General features: G+C 38.8%; 1 protein-coding gene across 18 annotated transcripts in view; it reads right to left on the bottom strand.

Moving 5' to 3' along the window:
- Window positions 10,028–19,101, bottom strand: part of ZFAND6 (zinc finger AN1-type containing 6) — a 79,443-nt gene continuing 70,369 nt past the window's right edge. For 17 of the 18 annotated variants that reach the window (XM_047432697.1, NM_001242912.2, NM_019006.4 and 14 more), the window contains 2 exons: window positions 17,128–17,241; window positions 10,028–10,941 (listed from right to left, as the gene is read on the bottom strand). In XM_047432697.1, coding sequence (XP_047288653.1) covers window positions 10,793–10,941; window positions 17,128–17,241 — 263 coding nt within the window. In that variant the 3' untranslated portion in view covers window positions 10,028–10,792. The remainder of the gene's footprint in view (window positions 10,942–17,127; window positions 17,242–19,101) is intronic. The other variant, NM_001242918.2, reaches the window with a different exon arrangement.

The raw sequence follows: 19,101 nt of genomic DNA, 5'->3' as shown, positions 1-19,101 counted from the left end.
CCCAGCTGTAAGAATATATATGTTAAGGTTTCAAATAAGAAAGATTTGAAATCTCTTTCTAGAACGTTCATATTGAGTTTGGGTTTAGGTTACTGTACCTCACCAAATCTTAATTTCATGCATTGGAAAAATGAAATAATAAAAACGATACCTGCCTTGTAAGGTTGTTTAGAAGATCAAATAAGAAAACCCCTGCAAAAACTCTCAGCATATTGTGGGACACACAGAAAGTTCTCAATAAATGTCAGCAATCCTGTTTTCCTCTTCCTTACCTCCCCATCACTAATGTACATAAAAGTATAACATGCAACATGAGAAGTAGATTGACTCTGTCTAAGAACATCCTGTGTGAGAGCATTCTGTCCTGCCCTCCCTCCTCACCAGGATTCTGATTGTTGTTGTCAGATGTGTTCCACATCTCAGCGGCTGTCTGGGACAACACCTGGAGAATTCTTTTTTACTTTTTTAGCTGACAAATAAAAATTATACATATTTATCATGTAAAACATGTCATTCTGAAATAGGTACACATTGCACAATGGCTAAGTTGAGCTACTTAACATAAACATTACCTCACTTTTCATTTTTTTTGTCCTGAGAACATTTGAAATCTACTCTCTTGGCAATTTTCAAGAATATAATAAGGCCAGGCGTGGTGGCTCACGCCTGTAATCCCAGCACTTTGGGAGGCCAAGGCGGGTGGATCACAAAGTCAGGAGATCGAGACCATCCTTGCTAACACGGTGAAACCCCCTCTCTACTAAAAATACAAAGATTAGCTGGGTGTGGTGGCACGTGCCTGTAGTCCCAGCTACTCGGGAGGCTGAGGCAGGAGAATCACTTGAACCCGGGAGGTGGAGGTTGCAGTGAGCTGAGATTGCGCCACCGCACTCCAGCCTGGGCAACAGAGCAAGACTCAGTTGGACTAAAAAAAAAAAAAATACGGTTATTAATTATAGTCAGCATATTTTCCAATAGATCTCTTGAACTTATTCCTCCTATCTGAAATTTTGTGGGCTTTAACCAATATCTCCCCAACCTCCCAGCCCTTACCCCCTGGTAACCATCATTCTATTCTACTTCTGACTTCAACTTTTTCTGGGATTCCACATGTAAGTGAGATCATGCAGTATTTGTTGTTCTGCATCTGGCTTATTTCATTTAATATAATGTCTTCCAGCTTCATCCATGTTGTCATAAATGACAGGATTTCTTTTTATGGCTGAATAGTATTCCATTGTGTATACAAACCTTTTGTTTATCCATTCATCTGCTGATGGACACTCAGTTTGATTTCATATCTTGGCTATTGTGAATAATGCTACAATGAACATGGAGGTGCAGGTATCTCTATGACATACTGATTTCATATCCTTTGGATATATACTTAGCAGAGGGATTGCTGAATTATATGGTGGCGCTAGTTTTAATTTTTTGAGGAACCCCTATGTTGTCCATAATGGCGGTACTAATTTACATTCCCACCAACAAAGTACAAGGGTTCCCTGTTTTCCACAGCCTCTGCAATACTTGCTGTCTTTTGTTTTTTTGATAATAGCCATTCTAACAGGTGTGAGATGATATCTCATCGTGGTTTTATTTTGCATTTTTCTGATAATGATGTTGAGCATTTTTTCACATACCTGTTGGCCATTTTTATGTCTTTTGGGAAATGTCTATTCATATCCATTACTCATTTTTTAAGAATTAGGTTACTTGTTTTCTTGCTATTGAGTTGTTTGACTTCATTATTTATTTTAGATTCTAATTCCATATCAGATGTGTGGTTTGCAAATGTTTTCTCCCACTTCCTAGGTTTTTTCTTGTCGATTGTTTCCTTGGCTATACAGAAGCTTTTTAGCCTGATATAATCGCATCTGTCTGTATTTGCTTTTGTTGCCTGTGCTTTTGGGTTCATATCCAAAAAATCATTGCCCAGACCAATGACATGGAGCTTTTCCCATTTTCTTCTAGTTTTACAGTTTCATTTCTTAAGTTTACGTTTTTAATCCATTTTGAGTTGATTTTTATATATGGTGTGAGATAAGGGTCTAATTTCATTCTTCCACATGTGGATATCCAATTTTCCCAACATCATTTATTGAAGAGACTGTCCTTTCCCCATCACGTATTCTCAGCACTTTTGTGAAAAATCAACTGGCTGTAAATCTGTGGATTTATTCCTGGGCTCTCTATTCTGTTCAATATGTCTGTTATTATGCCAGCACCATGTTGTTTTGATTACTATAGCTATATAGTAGATTCATTTTGTTTTGTTTTGCTTTGCTTTAGAGACAGGGTTTTGCTCTGTTCTCTGGCTGGAATTCAGTGATATGATCACGGCTCACTGCAGCCTCAACCTCCCAGTGGCTCAAGTGATCCTCCCACCTTAGTCTTCTGCATAGCTGGGACTATAGGCATCTGCCACCATGCCTGGCCAATATTTAAAAAAAAAATGTAGAGATGGAGTCTAGCTATGTTGTGTAGGCTGGTCTCAAACTCCTGGGCTCAAGTGATCCTCCTGCCTCAGCCTCCCGAAGTGCTGGAATTACAGGCATGAGCCACCACATCTGGCTGCTTTGTAGTAGATGTTGAAGTCAGATAGTGTGATGCCTCCAGCTTTGTTCTTTTTGCTCAAGAGTGCTTTAGCTATTCAGCGTCTTTTGCAGTTCCATACATGTTTTAGGATTTGTTTGTTTGTTTCTGTGAAAAATATCGTTACAATTTTGACAGGGATTCCATTGAATTTGTAGATTGCTTTGGGTAGTATGGACATTTTAACAATATTAAGTCTTCCAATCTATGAACATGGGATATCTTTTATGTTGTTTTTTTTTTTTTTGAGACGGAGTTTCGCTCTTGTTGTCTGTCCAAGCTGGAGTGCAGTGGCGCGATCTTTGCTCACCGCAACCTCCACCTCCCAGGTTCAAGCGATTCTCCTGCCTCAGCCTCCAGAGTAGCTGGGATTACAGGCATGCGCCACCACGCCTGGCTAATTTTGTATTTTTAGTAGAGACAGGGTTTCTCCATGTTGGCAGGGTGGTTTCGAACTCCCAACTCAGGTGATCTGTCTGCCTCGGCCTCCCAAAGTGCTGGAATTACAGGCTTGAGCCACCGCGCCTGGCCATATCTTTTCATTTATTTCTGTTTTCTTCAATTTCTTTCATTGATGTTTTCTAGTTATCAGTGTACAGGTCCTTCACCTCCTTGGTTAAATTTATTCCCAAGTGTTTTGTTTGGTTGGGGGTTTTTTGGTAGCTATTGTAAATGAGATTGTTTTCTTAATTTCCAAAAATCCCTTCTGCTACTTCTATTCATCCCCTGGACCGCTGGCAGCCACTTATCTCTTTACTGTCTCTGTAGTCTTGACTTTTCCAGAATGTCATATAATTGGAATCATATAGTATGTAGCTTTTAAGATTGGGTTCTTTCACTTAGCGATATGCATTAAGATTCTTCTATGTCTTTTCCTGCCCTGAAAGTTCCTTTCTATTTTTGTTGAATACTGTTTCACTGTATAAATGTTCCACAGTTTGTTTGTTCACCTATTGAAGGACATCTTGGTTGCTCCCAATTTTTGGCAATTAAGGATAAAGCTGCTAAAATGTCAGTGTGCAAGTTTTTGTGTGGACACTTTTGCTTTTTAACCAAGTATACTTTATTAAATCATTAAAAAAAATTTTTAGAAATGGGGTCTCACTATGTTGCCCAGACCAAACTCAAACTCCTGGCCTCAAGTGACTCTCCTACCTCAGCCTCCTGAGTAGCTGAGGCTGCAGGCTTTTTTTTTTTTAATTGCTATCAGTGTATCTTCTTTGATATCTATTCAGATATTTTGCCCATTTTTAGGTTGGACTGTTTTCATACAATTAAGCTTTTAAGAGTTTTTTGTATATGTTAAATGAAAGCCCTTTATGTGTTTTGCTAATTTTTTCCAAGTCTGTGGCTTGTCTTTTAATTTTCTTAACAGCAGCTTCTGCAGAGCAGTTTTTAACTTTAACAGAGTCCAAGTCATCAATAATTTTTCTTTCCCAAGTTATGCTTTTAGTGTTTTACTTAGAAAAATCGAAACCAAACCTTGAATTTCTTATATTCTAAGTTTTACATTTTTGTGTTTTACATTTATGTCTATGATAAATTTTGAGTTAACTTTTGTGAAAGGTTCAAGGTGTCTAGATTGACTTTTTTTGCATGTAAATGTACAGCTGATCACTACTGCTTGAAAAAGTATTCCTATGAAAAAGACTTTCTCCATGAATTGTCTTCTCTTCTTTGTCAAAGATCAGTTGACTATATTTGTATTGGTTTATTTCTGGGCTCTCTGATATATTCTGCAAATACCAGTCTTTATTATGGGAGCTTTATAGTAGGTGTTTAAGTTGGGTAGCATCAGTCTTTGTTCTTCAGTATCGCATTGGCCATTTTGGGCCTTTGCCCCTCCACATAAACTTTAGAATTACTTTGTTGCTATCCACAAAATAACATGCTAGGATTTTGACTGAAATCACATTGAGCTTATAGACTAACGTGGGAAGAACTGACAATATTGAGTCTTCCTAGCACTGAAATGAAAGCTATTTATTGAAATGATCTTTGATTTCCTTGATTAGTTTTGTCATCTTCTTCACATAGATCTTGTCATATTTTATTAGATTTATACCTAAGCATTCCCTCTTGTTGGGGCTAATGTGAATGGTGTTTTTGTTTGTTTGTTTTTTGTTTTTTTGAGATGGAGTCTCATTCTGTCGCCAGGCTGGAGTGCAGTGGCATGATCTCGGCTCACTGCAACCTCCACCTCCTGGATTCAAGTGATTCTTTTGCCACAGCCTCCCAAGTAGCTGGGACTATAGGCACACATGCCACCACGCCCAGCTGATTTTTTGTATTTTTAGAAGAGACAGGGTTTCACCATCTTGGCCAGGATGGTCTTGATCTCTTGATCTCGTGATCCACCTGCCTCGGCCTCCCAAAGTGCAGGGATTACAGTCGTGAGCCACTGCACCTGGTGTGAATGGTGTTTTTAATTTTAAATTTAAATTTTTCATTGCTGGTATATAGCAAAGCAATTGGCTTTTGTATTATATATTCACCTTTTTTTTTGTATTAACCTTTTATCCTGCAATCTTACTATAACTGCTTATAAGTTTCAAGAGTCTTTACGTAGATTCTTTGATTTCATTCCAGATGTTAACATCTTTCATTGGTTACATTCTGTCTCCCATCTCCACATTCTGACTTTCTATTCTACTGGCCTTCTGAATTAATCTTGATGCTTATGTGTTAATAAAAAGAAGGGAAAATGGCCAGGAAGCCAGTCTCTGAAAAGACACCACAACAAAGTATCCTTTCCTAAATTCCCAATAATATCTGTTTAGATGTTGCTGGGAACAGGTCCCCCAAATCTGGCCATAAACAGGCCATGAGAAACTGGCCATAAACAAATCTCTACAGCACTGTGACATGCTTGTGATGGCTATGACACCCACGCTGGAGGTTGCTGGTTTACTGGAATGAGGGCAAGGAACACCTGGCCCACCCAGGGCAGAAAACCGCTCAAGGCGTACCTAAACCACAAACAATAGCATGAGCGATCTATGCCTTAAGGACATGTTCCAGCTGCGGATAACAAGCCAGAGCCTGTCCCTTTGTTTCCCATAAGGAAGGCTTTTAGCTAATCTATAATCTATAGAAATAATTCTCATCACTGGCTTGCTGTCAATAAATATGCAGGTCAAACTCTGTTTAGGGTTCTCAGCTCTGAAGGCTGTCAGCCCCCTGATTCCCACTCTGCACTCTGTGTCTTTGTCTTAATTCCTCTAGCGCCACTGGGTTAGGGTCTCCATGACCGAGCTGGTCTTGGTAAGATGTTCTGGAAACTATGAGAAAGGGGAAGTATAGCCATTGTTAGTTTAGTAAAAACTGTTTTCACATTAGAAAATACACGGCTTTTGAGTTGTGCTTGAAGTAAAGGAATGATTTCAAGACTGCACTGTGCAGTACAAGTTAGCATTGTAGGATAACTAGGGGAGAGGACACTTTGCACCAGACTTGAGCACAAACATCCCAGAAAAATTAGTATGGAAGACTGAAGTACGAGAAAACTCTTGATTAACAGTGTATTTAGGTGTAGTGAAACTGGAAGACTGTGAATGTTTGTTTTTTATGTGTGACAATTTTAAAAAGAAATACAAATTGAATGCTGAGGCTGATTCAACACCTTTCCTTGCATAACCTTCAAGTTCTAAAATGTGATCATCAAAACAGCTTTATAATTAACTTTCTGCTTTTGATACTTTGGACTTCCGGTACAGAATATTGGATTAATCATAATCCCTGGTTCAAGACACTCTCAGCATTGGTTCATACATGGCCTCTTTTAGTTTCCTAATATAAGCATCCTGACTCTACTAACCCCAAGAAAGCTGGAGCTTTGACCATATAGTACCACTTACTAGCGCATCCCTTGCCACCTCTCATCTAAGGGCATTGTTCTGAATTTTTTCATCATCATTATCCTGCTTTCTTTTCACATAAAATCTATTGGCTGGGCGCGGTGACTCACGCCTGTAATTCCAGCACTTTGGGAGACCGAGGAGGGCAGATCACCTGAGGTCGGGAGTTCGAGACCAGCCTGACCAACATGGTGAAACACCGTCTCTACTAAAAACACAAAATTAGCTGGGCGTGGTGGCAGATGCCTATAATCCCAGCTACTCGGGAGGCTGAGGCAGGAGAAATTGCTTGAACCCAGGAGGCGGAGGTTGCCGTGAGCTGAGATTGTGCCATTGCACTCCAGCCTGGGCAACAAGAGCAAAACTCCGTTTTACTAAAAAAAAAAAAAATCGGCCGGGCGCGGTGGCTCATGCCTGTAATCCCAGCACTTTGGGAGGCCGAGGCGGGCAGATCTCAAGGTCAGGAGATCCAGACCATCCTGGCTAACATGTTGAAACCCTGTCTCCACTAAAAATACGAAAAAAAAAAAAGTCTCCGGGCGTGGTGGCAGGCGCCTGTAGTCCCAGCTACTCCGGAGGCTGTGGCAGGAGAATGGCGTGAACCCGGGAGGCAGAGCTTGCAGTGAGCCGAGATCGCGCCACTGCACTCCAGCCTGGGCAACAGAACAAGGCTCCGTCTCGGGGGAGGGGGGGGAACCTATTACATGCGAATGTATTTTAAAGTGTTTATAGGTGAGCATGTTGCATATTTTGAGACTAGTTTTGCTTACTATACTGCACTTCTTCCTGTATTTCTAAAGCTTACTATACTGGAAGACTTTTTTGCATAATATGCTTCTATTTTGTTGTGTCACTATGGATCAGCAGTTTTGGTTACAGTGTATTATTCCAGTGTATGAATATATCACATTATATTCATCCACTCTTCTTCACTGGGGATTTGAAGACTTGTTTCTGGGCTTTTGCTTCTGTAAACAGCACTATAAAACTTCGTGTAGTGGTCCCCCATTTGTCTTTTTTTTTTTTCTGAGATGGAATCTCACTCTATTGCCCAGGCTAGAGTGCAGTGGTGCGATCTTGGCTCACTGCAATCTCCACCTCTTGGGTTCACGAGATTCTCCTGCCTCAGCCTCCCCAGTAGCTGGGATTACAGGCACCTGCCACCGTGCCTGGCTAATTTTTGTATTTTTAGTAGAAATGGGGTTTCACCGTTTTGGCCATGCTGGTCTCGAACTCCTGACCTCATGATCCATCCACCTTGGCCTCCCAAAGTGCTGGGATTACAGGCTTGAGCCACCGCTCCTGGCTGCGGTCCCCCATTTATCTATGTGTAAGTTTTTCCTAGGTATGCACTTGGGAGTGCAATTTCTGGACTATTGGGTATGTAAAAGTTCCACTTTAAAAGACAGTATCAAACTTTCTCAAGGATTGAACCACTGCACTAACACCAGCAATGCAAGAACACACAGAAATTTGGCAACACTATATACTGACAGATTAATTTTTTGTTGCTTGAATGGGTAGTCTTCATTTGCAGTGGAACTTCTCCCACCTTTGTCTTTTCACATTCTTTGAAGATACTTTAATGTGTTTGAGAATAAAATATCCTTTTAATAGATAAATTCATTAATAATACATTTATAGTATGCTTTGTGTCTTATTTTTTTTATTTTTATTTTTTGAGATGGAGTCTTGCTCTGTCACCCAGGCTGGAGTGCAGTGGTGCGATCTTAGCTCACTGCAACCTCTGCCTCCGGATTCAAGTGATTTTCCTGCCTCAGCCTCCCTAGTAGTAGGGATTACAGGCATGTGCCACTGCGCCTGGCTAATTTTTGTATTTCTTAGTAGAGACGAGGTTTCACCATGTTGGCCAGGTCTTGTGATCTGCCCGCCTCGGCCTCCAAGTGATGGGATTACCGACGTTAGCCACTGTGCCTGGCCAAGAAGTCTCTCTATCCTAAGACCTAACAGGCAGCCATCTTTCTTCTGAGAGTTTTCAAATTTTGTTTTAAGTCCTTTTTTCCTATGGCATAACATACGGGTTTTTTCCTTTTTCATACAGAAAACCAATTCTTCTAGCTCTAATTATCGAAGTCTCCTTTCCTGAATGCAATGTGCCACCTCTCTCTTACACCAAAGTTCAGTCCGTGCAGAGTTCTCTGGGCAATCTATTCAATTCAGGTATCTGTCTGTCCCTATCAGCTAATAACATGCTATTTTAACTAACAAGGCTTCACAGTGAGTCCTGACATTTAGGACAAGTCCCTGTCTCCCTGCTCTCTTCTGAAATGTTCTAGCCTTTTGCTCTTTTTAACTTTTACTTTTACAATCAACTAAACAAGCTCCATGAAAAAAAATCAAGTGGAATTTTGATTGGGATTACCTTGAATCTATGCCTACTGAGGGACAGATGACATTTTTTGATACTGTCTTCCTATCCACTAACATCTATTTACTGAATTCCTATTATCCCTTAATGTTTTAGAATTCTTTCTTGAGGAGGCCATCCACATATATTGTCAATTTCCTAGGTAACCAAGATTCTGGTATTATTGTCAAATGGTGTTTCCTGGTTTTCTAGGTAACTGGTGTAAAGAAATGCAACTGTCTTCTAAAAACGAATGTTGTATCTAGCTACCTAACTAAACCCTATTATTTCTAGTAATGATTTTTCTATAAAAACAATGTGCAAATAATGAGTGCTACCTCTTTTCTTATCATTTTTCTGTCTTGTCTTGCTCCACTGATTATAATCTCCAACACAATTTTGAATAGTAAGCAGTAATAGTGGGCAGTCATCTTTGTTTCTGACTTTAAAAGGAAGTAAGTTTCCTCTTTTTAGCTGATGCTTGGTTTTGTTTGTTTGGCTGTTGATTTCACATAGAACTATCAGCTTAAGGAAATTCCTTTCTAGTCTTAATTTGTCAAGTTTAATTTTTCTTATCACGAATGGCTGTTAAATTCTATTACTCTACCTGAATCTATTAAGACAGTCATAACGGTTTATTCTCTTTATAATCTGTTAATGTGATCAATTTACAGATTTTGATAATTAAACCATCCTTTATTTAAATAGAACATGCAAGTAAGTAAATAATTTTAAACTGAGAAATTTATATTGTAAAATTATTGCCTTCATCTGTTTTATATGACATTTCATGTTTAAAAACGTTTGGCTACCAGACACATTTGAAAACCACAGGACAAATGATCTTTCAAGGGTCTTTCTACTCCGCAATTCTACAATTGCCCTGCAGTTTGAATTATACTCTTAAAATTTCTCCAATCCTACAAGAAAAAGCTTCTATTAGATGTTAATTGAGTGTGACAGTGTAGAAAAGGGAATCAGACAAGGACTAAAAAATACATTTAAGTAACAGAGAGGAGTGCTTGCCTCTGAAGATATGCTCAGGTCTTCAACTCAGAGGAATACAAAATTACAATTCATGATCATAAGCTTAGTCACAAATAGATGCAAGACAAATAATGGTAGTTCTCTTACAAAATTAGGAAAGTAGAAAACTAAAAGACCAAAAAATAAAATTAACTACCAGAAAGAATAAGAGAAAAAGTAATACAAGGGAGCATTCTGGTTTTCCTTTTTATTTAATCAAAGACTGGTGAATAAACATAAATACAGCACAATTACTTCAGATCATTCTTCATATTGTATACACACAAACCCATGAACATAATCTGAAAGAAACCTGTAGACAGCAATGAAATGCATACAGCTTTTTCTTCCCTCGCTCAAAAAAAAGTTTAAACACACAAACTTACAATCTCATCAGCACACACTCTCTTGTGACAAATGATTCAGACATAAATAGTGGGTGCAAAGAAACTATATGCTAACATATGAATAACCTTTGTTAATGAAAAAACAGAAGCAGCCATAATGATTAAGATACATTCAGTTACTGATAACTAGTTGTGCCCTAAAGGGCATTATCAAAAGAGAAATCGTGCTGCAGAGAAAAGCGATATATACATACACAATGAGAAAATAAACTGCAAGATTAATGCATGCATGTTTAATACTGGAAAAATCACAGCCCTCCAAAATTTCTGCACGTTTGTTATAAAAGCCCTCTGCACTCAACTAAAATTAAAATGATCTTAAAAGGATAATACTTGTAAAGTTTAAGTCTCCTCAGCCACAGAAATTGCAATGGAAATAAATGTTCAGAGTCATTTTCAAAACAAAACCAAAACAAAAATCTATTCTTCCGATGACATGCAAGATACACTGCTCTACATTCCCAATGACTAGGAAAAAAAAAACCTCAAGTCAATTTTTAGTTTGCAGATGCTCAAGAATTTTGTATTCCAGCAGGAGTTCAAATCTTTTGGATCTTTTCACCAACAACTACTGGATTTTCTTTTCTGATTTTCTCAGCAGCATCGGCTTTGTAATTGTAAGAGCAATTGTGTACATCTGAGTAACGGTGTACACCACAGTAAACATTTCCACACCGGCATTCAAACCCTGGAAATGGAGTAATACACATACATGAGTTGAAGGATGAAATATTAAGGTCTTTGGCATAATTAATACTGAACAGCACAATATATTTAGGGCAGCAATGTAAACTAAAGAATCATTCTAAATACACTGTCTCACAAACTACATTCTTATTCACTACCTGAGAGCTTCATTTCTTATTCCTATCTACAAACGCAGGTTTGCCCTAGAGAAAGTCCTCTGAGCTTGTTTCTTCACCTGTGATATGGCAACAATTACTTCTTAACAAAAACACAGTTGCTAGGTTGAAAATGTAAAACATTTTTCAAATCCAAACACTACGATGTGAGAATAAGCCTACTGTCAGAAGGCAGTCTTGGCATTTATTTAAGAAAGATCAAATAATACCTCTGAAAGAACTGTTAACAAAGAACACAGCTTCGATATTTGCTTTTCTCTGCTAACCTCCCATGGAGATGTGAACTGTACTGCAGTTGAGAGGTGAAGAGCACGGGATCTAGAGCCTGCCTGCCTCAGTGTCAATCTACTTACTAATGAAGGCAAATTAGCCTCTCTGAGCTTGAGTTTCTGCATCTGTAATTTTGGAATAATAATAAGTAAGGATTAAATGAGGAAGGAATTTAATTCTGAACATATGGTAAAACACACAATAAATGCTACTTAATTTTAAGAAAATGCCTGGAGTTAAAACCAAAATCGAGATGTAATGGGTGCAGCCAGTCTTTAAATAAAACTGGTCCTGCTCCCCCAAATTAGAATTTTATGGTATGATACAATTGTTAGAAATGGAGCACAGGAATCAATATTTTAAACATTAATATTTGATGTTAACCTCCATTGCCACATTTTTAACTTCAAAGACATATTTGTAACTTCATAATAATGAATGAAAAATGAAGCAAACAGCACTGTATTAGACAGACTGGACAAGATGAAAATTATTAAATCTCACCCTTCTAATCTTGAAGTCTGAGGGTTTGTGAGATTTAGAAAGGCTATCTTTTTTCCTTTTTTTTTTTGACACGGAGTCTCACTTTGTCACCAGGCTGCAGTGCAGTGGCATGATCTCGGCTCACCACAATCTCCGCCTCCTGCGTTCAAGCCATTCTCCTGCCTCAGTCTCCCGAGTAGCTGGGATTACAGGTGCACGCCACCACACCCAGCTAATTTTTGTATTTTTAGTAGAGACTGAGTTTCACCATGTTGGCCAGGATGGTCTAGATCTCCTGACCTTGTGATCTGCCTGCCTAGGCCTCCCGAAGTGCTGGGACTACAGGCATGAGCCACCATGCCCAGCCCTAGAAAGGCTATCTTTAATATTAAATATGTATATTTTAAAATGTCTTTTTTTTTTTTTTTGACACAGGGTCTCACTGTCACTCAGGCTGGTATGAAGTGGTGCAATCATAGCTCACTGCAGCCTTGACCTCCTGGGCTCAAGCAATCCTTCCACCTCAGCCTTCTGAGTAGCTGGGACTACAGGCACATGCCATCATGATCAGCTAATTTTAAAAATTTTTTTGTACAGACTGAGTCTCACTATGTAGTCCAGGTTGGTCTTCAACTCCTGGCCTCAGGTGATCCTCCCACCTTGGCCTCCCAGTGCTGGGAATACAGGTGTGAGACACTGCACTGGGCCATGTTTGTATTCTTTAAATGTACATGTGCTAAGGTATGGGCAAATCTGAAACATCTTTTTAAATTTTCTCTTTTAAAGATGAGGTCTCATTATGTTGCCCAGGCTGGTCCCGAATTCCTGGCCTGAAGCAATCCTCCCACCTTGGCCTCCCAAGTGCTGGGATTATAGGTGTGAGCCACCATACCTGATCTTGAAGCATCTTTGATATTAAACTCTAACTTCCTTTCTTTTTCATCTCCAAACCATTCCTTAACCAGAAATAATCTTCCTAAAGCAAAGCTCTGCTCAAAATCTTATCTACTCTTTTCTGTAAGTCCAATTTTTATGCAGTGTTCAGCACAGTGCCTGGCACATGGTAAACAATACATTTTGACTATCTATAGCTGCAACTACTTTCCAACTAACCACAGTACAGTTGACTCTTAAAGGATGCCAGATTTAGGCATGCAGACCCCTCTACAAGTCAAAAATCCATGTATAATTTTATGTTCCCTCAAAATTTGAGCTATTAATAGCTTATTAACCAGAAGCTTTACTGGTAACATAGTCGACTAACACATATTTTGTGTTGTATGTTTGTATATTATTAATATATAATGTATTCTTATAATAAAGTAAGCTAGAGAAAAGGAAATGTTATTCAGAAAATCACAAGGAAGAGAAAATATATTTACTATTCATTAAGTGAAAGTCGATCATCATAAAAGTCTTCATCCTTGTCTTTACATTGAATAGGTAGAAGAGGGGTTGGTCTTGCTGTCTCAGGGTTAGCAGAGGTGGAGAAGGTAAAAGGGGAGGCTGGAGAGGCAGGCATACTTGGTGTAACTTTATGGAAATACAATGTAATTTCTGACTTTTCTGCTTTTTTGTTCTCTAAATTGTTTCCATATGGTACCAATCCTTCTTCCACCATTTGCTTTAGTTTCAGTTCTCATATCACCAAACGGTCCACGTTGCAAACGAAGTGAAAAGCAGTCTTGAATAATCAGACCCCTTCTGTCAGACTGTCTAGTGTCAATCTGTTTTCTTGCACGCTTTTTCTCTTTTTCTATGTCTTCTTCCTCACTGTCTGGCAGTGGTTTGGAAGCAGTCATCTCCATCAAGTCATCTTCTGTTAATTCTTCTGGTTTGGTGTCTATTAGCTCCTGAATATCTCCAAGATCCCTATCTTGAAATCCTTAACCCCCAACCTTTCTTGCCATATCCACAATCTCTATCATGATTTCCATCCTGTGAAGTCACACAACATCTGGAGTTTTCTCCTGCAAAAATTTGTTGTTTCAGGCTTGAGAGCTTTCACATCTTTTTCTAAACAATAATGGTATCTTCAATGATATGATGTTCCCTCTATTGGGGTTCTCTTCCATAGCACTGACAATCTTTTCCAAAGAGTACCATGTGTAATGAGCCTGAAAGGTCTTTACGACCCCTGACCTAGAGGCTGAATTAGAGATGCTTCTCTGGGAGCAAGCATTTATCACTTCGACGCCTTCAGTGCTGAACTCATGAGGTTCTGGGTGGCCAGGGGCATTGTCCAATATCAAAACAACTTTAGGCCAGGAGCTGTGGCTCGTGCCTGTAATCCCAGCACTTTGGGAGGCTGAGGTGGACGGATCACCTGCGATCAGGAGTTTGGGACCAGCTTGGCCAACAGGGCGAAACCCCGTCTCTACTAAAGATACAAAGAAATTAGTTGGGCATGGTGGAGTACGCCTGTAATCCCAGCTACTAGGGAGGCTGAGGCAGGAGAATCGCTAGAACCCAGGAGGAGGAGGTTGCAGTGAGTGGAGAGTGCGCCACTGCACTCCAGCCTAGGCGAAAAGAGTGAAACTCCATCTCAAAAAAAAAAAAAAAACCCAACAACTTTAAAAGGCAGTCCCTTACTAGCAAGATACTTTCTGATTTCAGGGACAAAGCATTAATGTAACCGATCACGAAAAAGGGTTCATATTGTTTAAGCGTTCCTGTTGTACAACCAAAAGACTGGCAGCTGGTGTTTATCTTTTTCCCTTCAAGACTCGGGTTAGCAGCTTTATAGGTAATGGCAGTTCTGATCATAAACCCAACTGCATTTGCGCAAAACAGTAAAGTTAGACGATCTCCTCCTGCCTTAAGTCCTAGTATTCACTTTTCTTCCTTAGATCTTTGTGACCTTTTTCTTCCAGAATAGGGCACTTTTGTCTGCATTAAAAACTTGTTCAGGCAGATACTCTTTCTCCAACAACTTAATATAGTTTGGGAACTTTCTTAATGTAGTTTGGGAACCTACTGCCTCTTTTCTGGCAGAAGCTGTTTCTCCTGTTATCTTGACTTTTTCAAAGCCAAACCTTTTTCTAAAATTACCAAACCGGCCAGGTGTGGCGGTTCCACTCTATAATCCCAGCACTTTGGGAGGCTGAGGTGGGTGGATCACCTGAGGTCAGGAGTTTGAGAGCAGCCTGGCCAACGTGGTGAAACCCCATCTCTACTAAAGAAATACAAAAATTAGCCGGGCATGGTGGCACACACCTGTAATCACAACTACTTGGGAGGCTGGGGCAGGAGAATTGCTTGAACCCAGGAGGCGGAGGTTACAGTGAGCCGAGATAGTGCCACTGTACTCCAGTCTGGATGACAGAGCAAGACTCCATTTCAAAAAAAAAAACAAAAAACAAACAAACAAAAAAAAACACCATCCTTTGCTGGCATTAAAGTCTCCAGCTTTAGAATCTAAAAGCTGTGATATAATGACTTCACTTTTTCTTGAATCATAGTATGCCTTTTTTTATAGCAATCCTGCACCCACATAAAAGCTGCATTGTCAATACAAAATAAAAAGGTATTTCATAAAAAAGTACAAAGTTGTTGTGCCTGCTGGCATAGCTGCAGAGATGGCTTCACAAATTTCCTTTTTTTTTTTTTTAACAATAGTCCTTACACTGAATTCATTTATCCTGAAATGGCAGACATCATTCATTTTTCTTGAAATGGCAGAATAGCAGCTGCAGACATTAATCTATGGTACATACCAAGCAATTCAACTTTTTCTTGTAATGTCAGACTTTTCTCTTCTTCTTGGGAGCACTTCCAGTATCACTAGTGCTAGTGGCATCACTTTATACGAGTCTTATGGTATTATTCAAAGTTTACAGTATTGCATTAAACACGATGAAAAATACATGAGAACCACAAGAGATTACCTTTTACTGTGGTAGGCAATTTACTACAGAGACAAACTGCTGAAACAGAGGTGATCAGTGCCGATTAAAATGTGTGGCATTTTAAGTGGATACTTGCAGCACCTGAACTCACTGCAATAGCAATAGGAGGTGGCTATGAAATTATTAGAGAAGTATAGTATATACCACAGTAACTTTTTGCCACTCTCACTTAATACTGCATCTTTACATTTGTTTACATTTCTCTTGACTATGAATGGCTTCATGTATGATCTGCATATTGTATAGGCAAGTTTTGATAAAATTTTAATTTTTTATAATAGATTTGTGCATATTCTGTGGTAGTAAATGATAAAATACACAAGTATCTACACATGTTTTACACATTCAAGACATGCCTAACTCTTCTTAATTAAAAAAATATATTTCTAGGCTATACAGTTCATCTGTGAGTTTTTTCCAATTGCTGCAAATCTCCAAAAAATTTTCCAATGTATTAGAAAAAACTCTAAGTGGACCCCTACAGTCCCATGTTGTTCAAGAGTCAACTGTATAAGTTTTTAGTCTTATTTCTTTATTCCTGTTGGACTGCAGTACACAACAGTCTTGTTCACGTATTATGTGCTACACAGCGACATTCCCCTATTCATGGTCCCTGCACATGCCCTATTCATTTTCTTCAAGTTATTCTTTCTGCCTGAAATGCCCCTATTTCCATCAGTTATAAGTCCTACTCACTGTTCAAGACACACTGAAACATTCTGCCTTCATGGTCCTTTCCTTGCTGGGCCTCTAAGAACTACCATTTTAAAATGTAAATTAGTTACTCTCATCCCTGAATTCCCAGAGCAATCTGACTGCACTTCATGTACTTTCTTTGCTAAATGCTTTTGAACATTTCTTTCTCCCTCCCACCACCATCTGCATCTGATAGCTATGTTACAGTAGCCAACATATATTAATTACTTACTGTGTGGCAGCACTGGGCTAACTGCTTACATGTCTTAACTCACTGAACCCACACAACAACGTATGATTAGCCCTATTTTATATATAGAAAGTACTTCCAGTTTACCAAGTACTTCAAAATATTCTCTCCTTAAAAGCAGGAGCCACATCTTTGACCTTTCACAGAATCTGGCACACTAACCTTATTTGTCTAATACTTCTAAATTCAACTGAAATAAAACTTTTTTTAAAAAAGCTATTCATTTCACTTTTAGGTGTATAATCAAAGCTATTTTTATTTCCTTAAGAAAATTCAGAAGGTGAAGTATATCCAATATTAACTCTCAAGGGAACAGGAACAATCTTAATTGAAGTCAACAACAGTAAGCTATGCATTATTATAAAACATCATTTTAATTTTAAACATTTGATTTAGGTCCTTACCAGTAAGTCCCACTTTCTTCCTGCACATGAAACAGCGATTCTTTTTTTGTTTCGGTTTTTCAAGAGACTTGCTTTGCTCTTCAGATGGCTGCTGTGCTGTGTCTGATACTGAAGCTAACAAAAATACGAAGGTGGCAAAATTTAATTATTCTGTAAGATTTTGCTATTCCTCATCCCACCCTCCCTAGTCTATTATTCAGAGGATACTGAGGAATTTATTAGCACAGAAAACTAGTCATTAAATTACAAAGTTGTTTACAAAAATATGACCCCTTTTTGTTAAATGTATGTATATATGCATGTAGAAAATAATCTAGAATATGTAATGATATGTTAACAGTGGTTTTATAGACTTTCTTTAGGTTTTAACTGTACTTTCTAATTTTTCTAGTAACTACAAATTTAATCAATAAAAGGCACATAAACAAATACTACTTGAATATTCTAAGGGAGTGTGCAAGACAATAGCCATATGCATAGTTCTTAATATTGTTCGGGGTCAGAATGACATAGGTCTCTCAGAGAACGAGGAGGGAAAAGGTGAAACCAAGATTCTGTGGAATATTAAGTATGTTTAAAGTTCCCAGAATGTTTCACATAAAAGCACTTTAAATGTTAGAAATAAGGCAAATTGAAGCAAAGAAGCTTTAAAATGTTGTAAGATAATAAGTTGATGCATTTATGTATGGAAACCAAAGCCAGATTTACCAAGATTCGGGTTAAATTACTACTCTGAAATCTTAACATGCCTCCCTCCAGTTGCTAACTACTCTAGCCCTCATGAATGCTGTCGCCAGAGTCAGAATCATATAATATGACCTTGCAGACGTGACATTTTGCTCTAAAATGGTGGAATTTCCCATGGATCAAATTCTTAACCTCTCCAGTTTTATCCCCAACTAGACTTTCCCCAGGGATCCACTGCTCCATTAATCTACACTGGGAATATGCCATGTACCTTTGCTCACACTTCTTAGAATCTATTCCAAAGGGTTTCCTTTTTCCCCATTTGATCTAGGTCCTCCTCTTTTTCAAGACCAAGGTCAAATACCCTTTCCTTGTCTCAATTCTCTGTAGCTTCTCACTCTGATTTTCCTTAACACCTTTTCCAAATACTGGGCACCTCATGAGTTCCCTCTACAATCCATGCTTCACACATTGCATCCAATCATCTGCCTTAAGTGAAAATCTAATGGTGTTCCCTCTGATGTTTAGAATTCCTCAATGGCTCCCAACTACCCCCCAGGATAAAGCCCAGAGGTCCTTCATGATTTTCTTCATCCTTCTTTCTCTAGCCTCATCTCTCACTATTCCTCAACAGTACTCCATGATTCAGCCATACTGAAGGACTTGCAGTTTCCCTGGACATATCAAACTCTCTTTTGCCTCTGGGCTCTTGTATAAGTTGTGCTTTCCATACAAAATACTCTTTCTATGCCCCTCCTGTCCCTCTTTTTATCAGGCTAACTCTAACTTGTTTTTCTTGTTTAAGCTTATATAATCAGCTCTTCCTCCACTGCCTCTCCAACAACCTTGGGGTGGGAAACCCTGTGTATAGCACTTTTCATATTAAAATTCCCTCATTGGCTTAACTTGGTTTAACTTTGAATTCTTTGAGGGGAGACATCGGTCCTATTTATCCCATTATCAGTGCCTATCCCAGTGTCTCCAACCACATAGCAGACATTCGACAATAAGTATCTGTTGAATTGAATTACTTACCTATTTTATTTATGTGCCTCATTTCCCCAACTACACCGTAAGGCCATTGAGAAGGATGGTTACCTTATTCCCCATCTGAACCTCCAGTCCTATCACAGTGAACTACACATTGTAATACATGCTCAGACATTTGCTGTGATTCTAACCTGCTTATGCTACCATCATTATCTCATATTTTAACAAAAGATGACAAAAGGCAGAATGCCACAAACAAGTAAATATGTGCTAATGACAAACTCTATAGCATGTTAC

This window comes from Homo sapiens, chromosome 15, assembly GCF_000001405.40.
Source record: "Homo sapiens chromosome 15, GRCh38.p14 Primary Assembly".
Taxonomy (NCBI): Eukaryota; Metazoa; Chordata; class Mammalia; order Primates; family Hominidae; genus Homo; species Homo sapiens.
The sequence above is the reverse complement of the archived record's forward strand: the minus strand, read 5'-3'. Positions and strand labels throughout refer to the sequence as shown.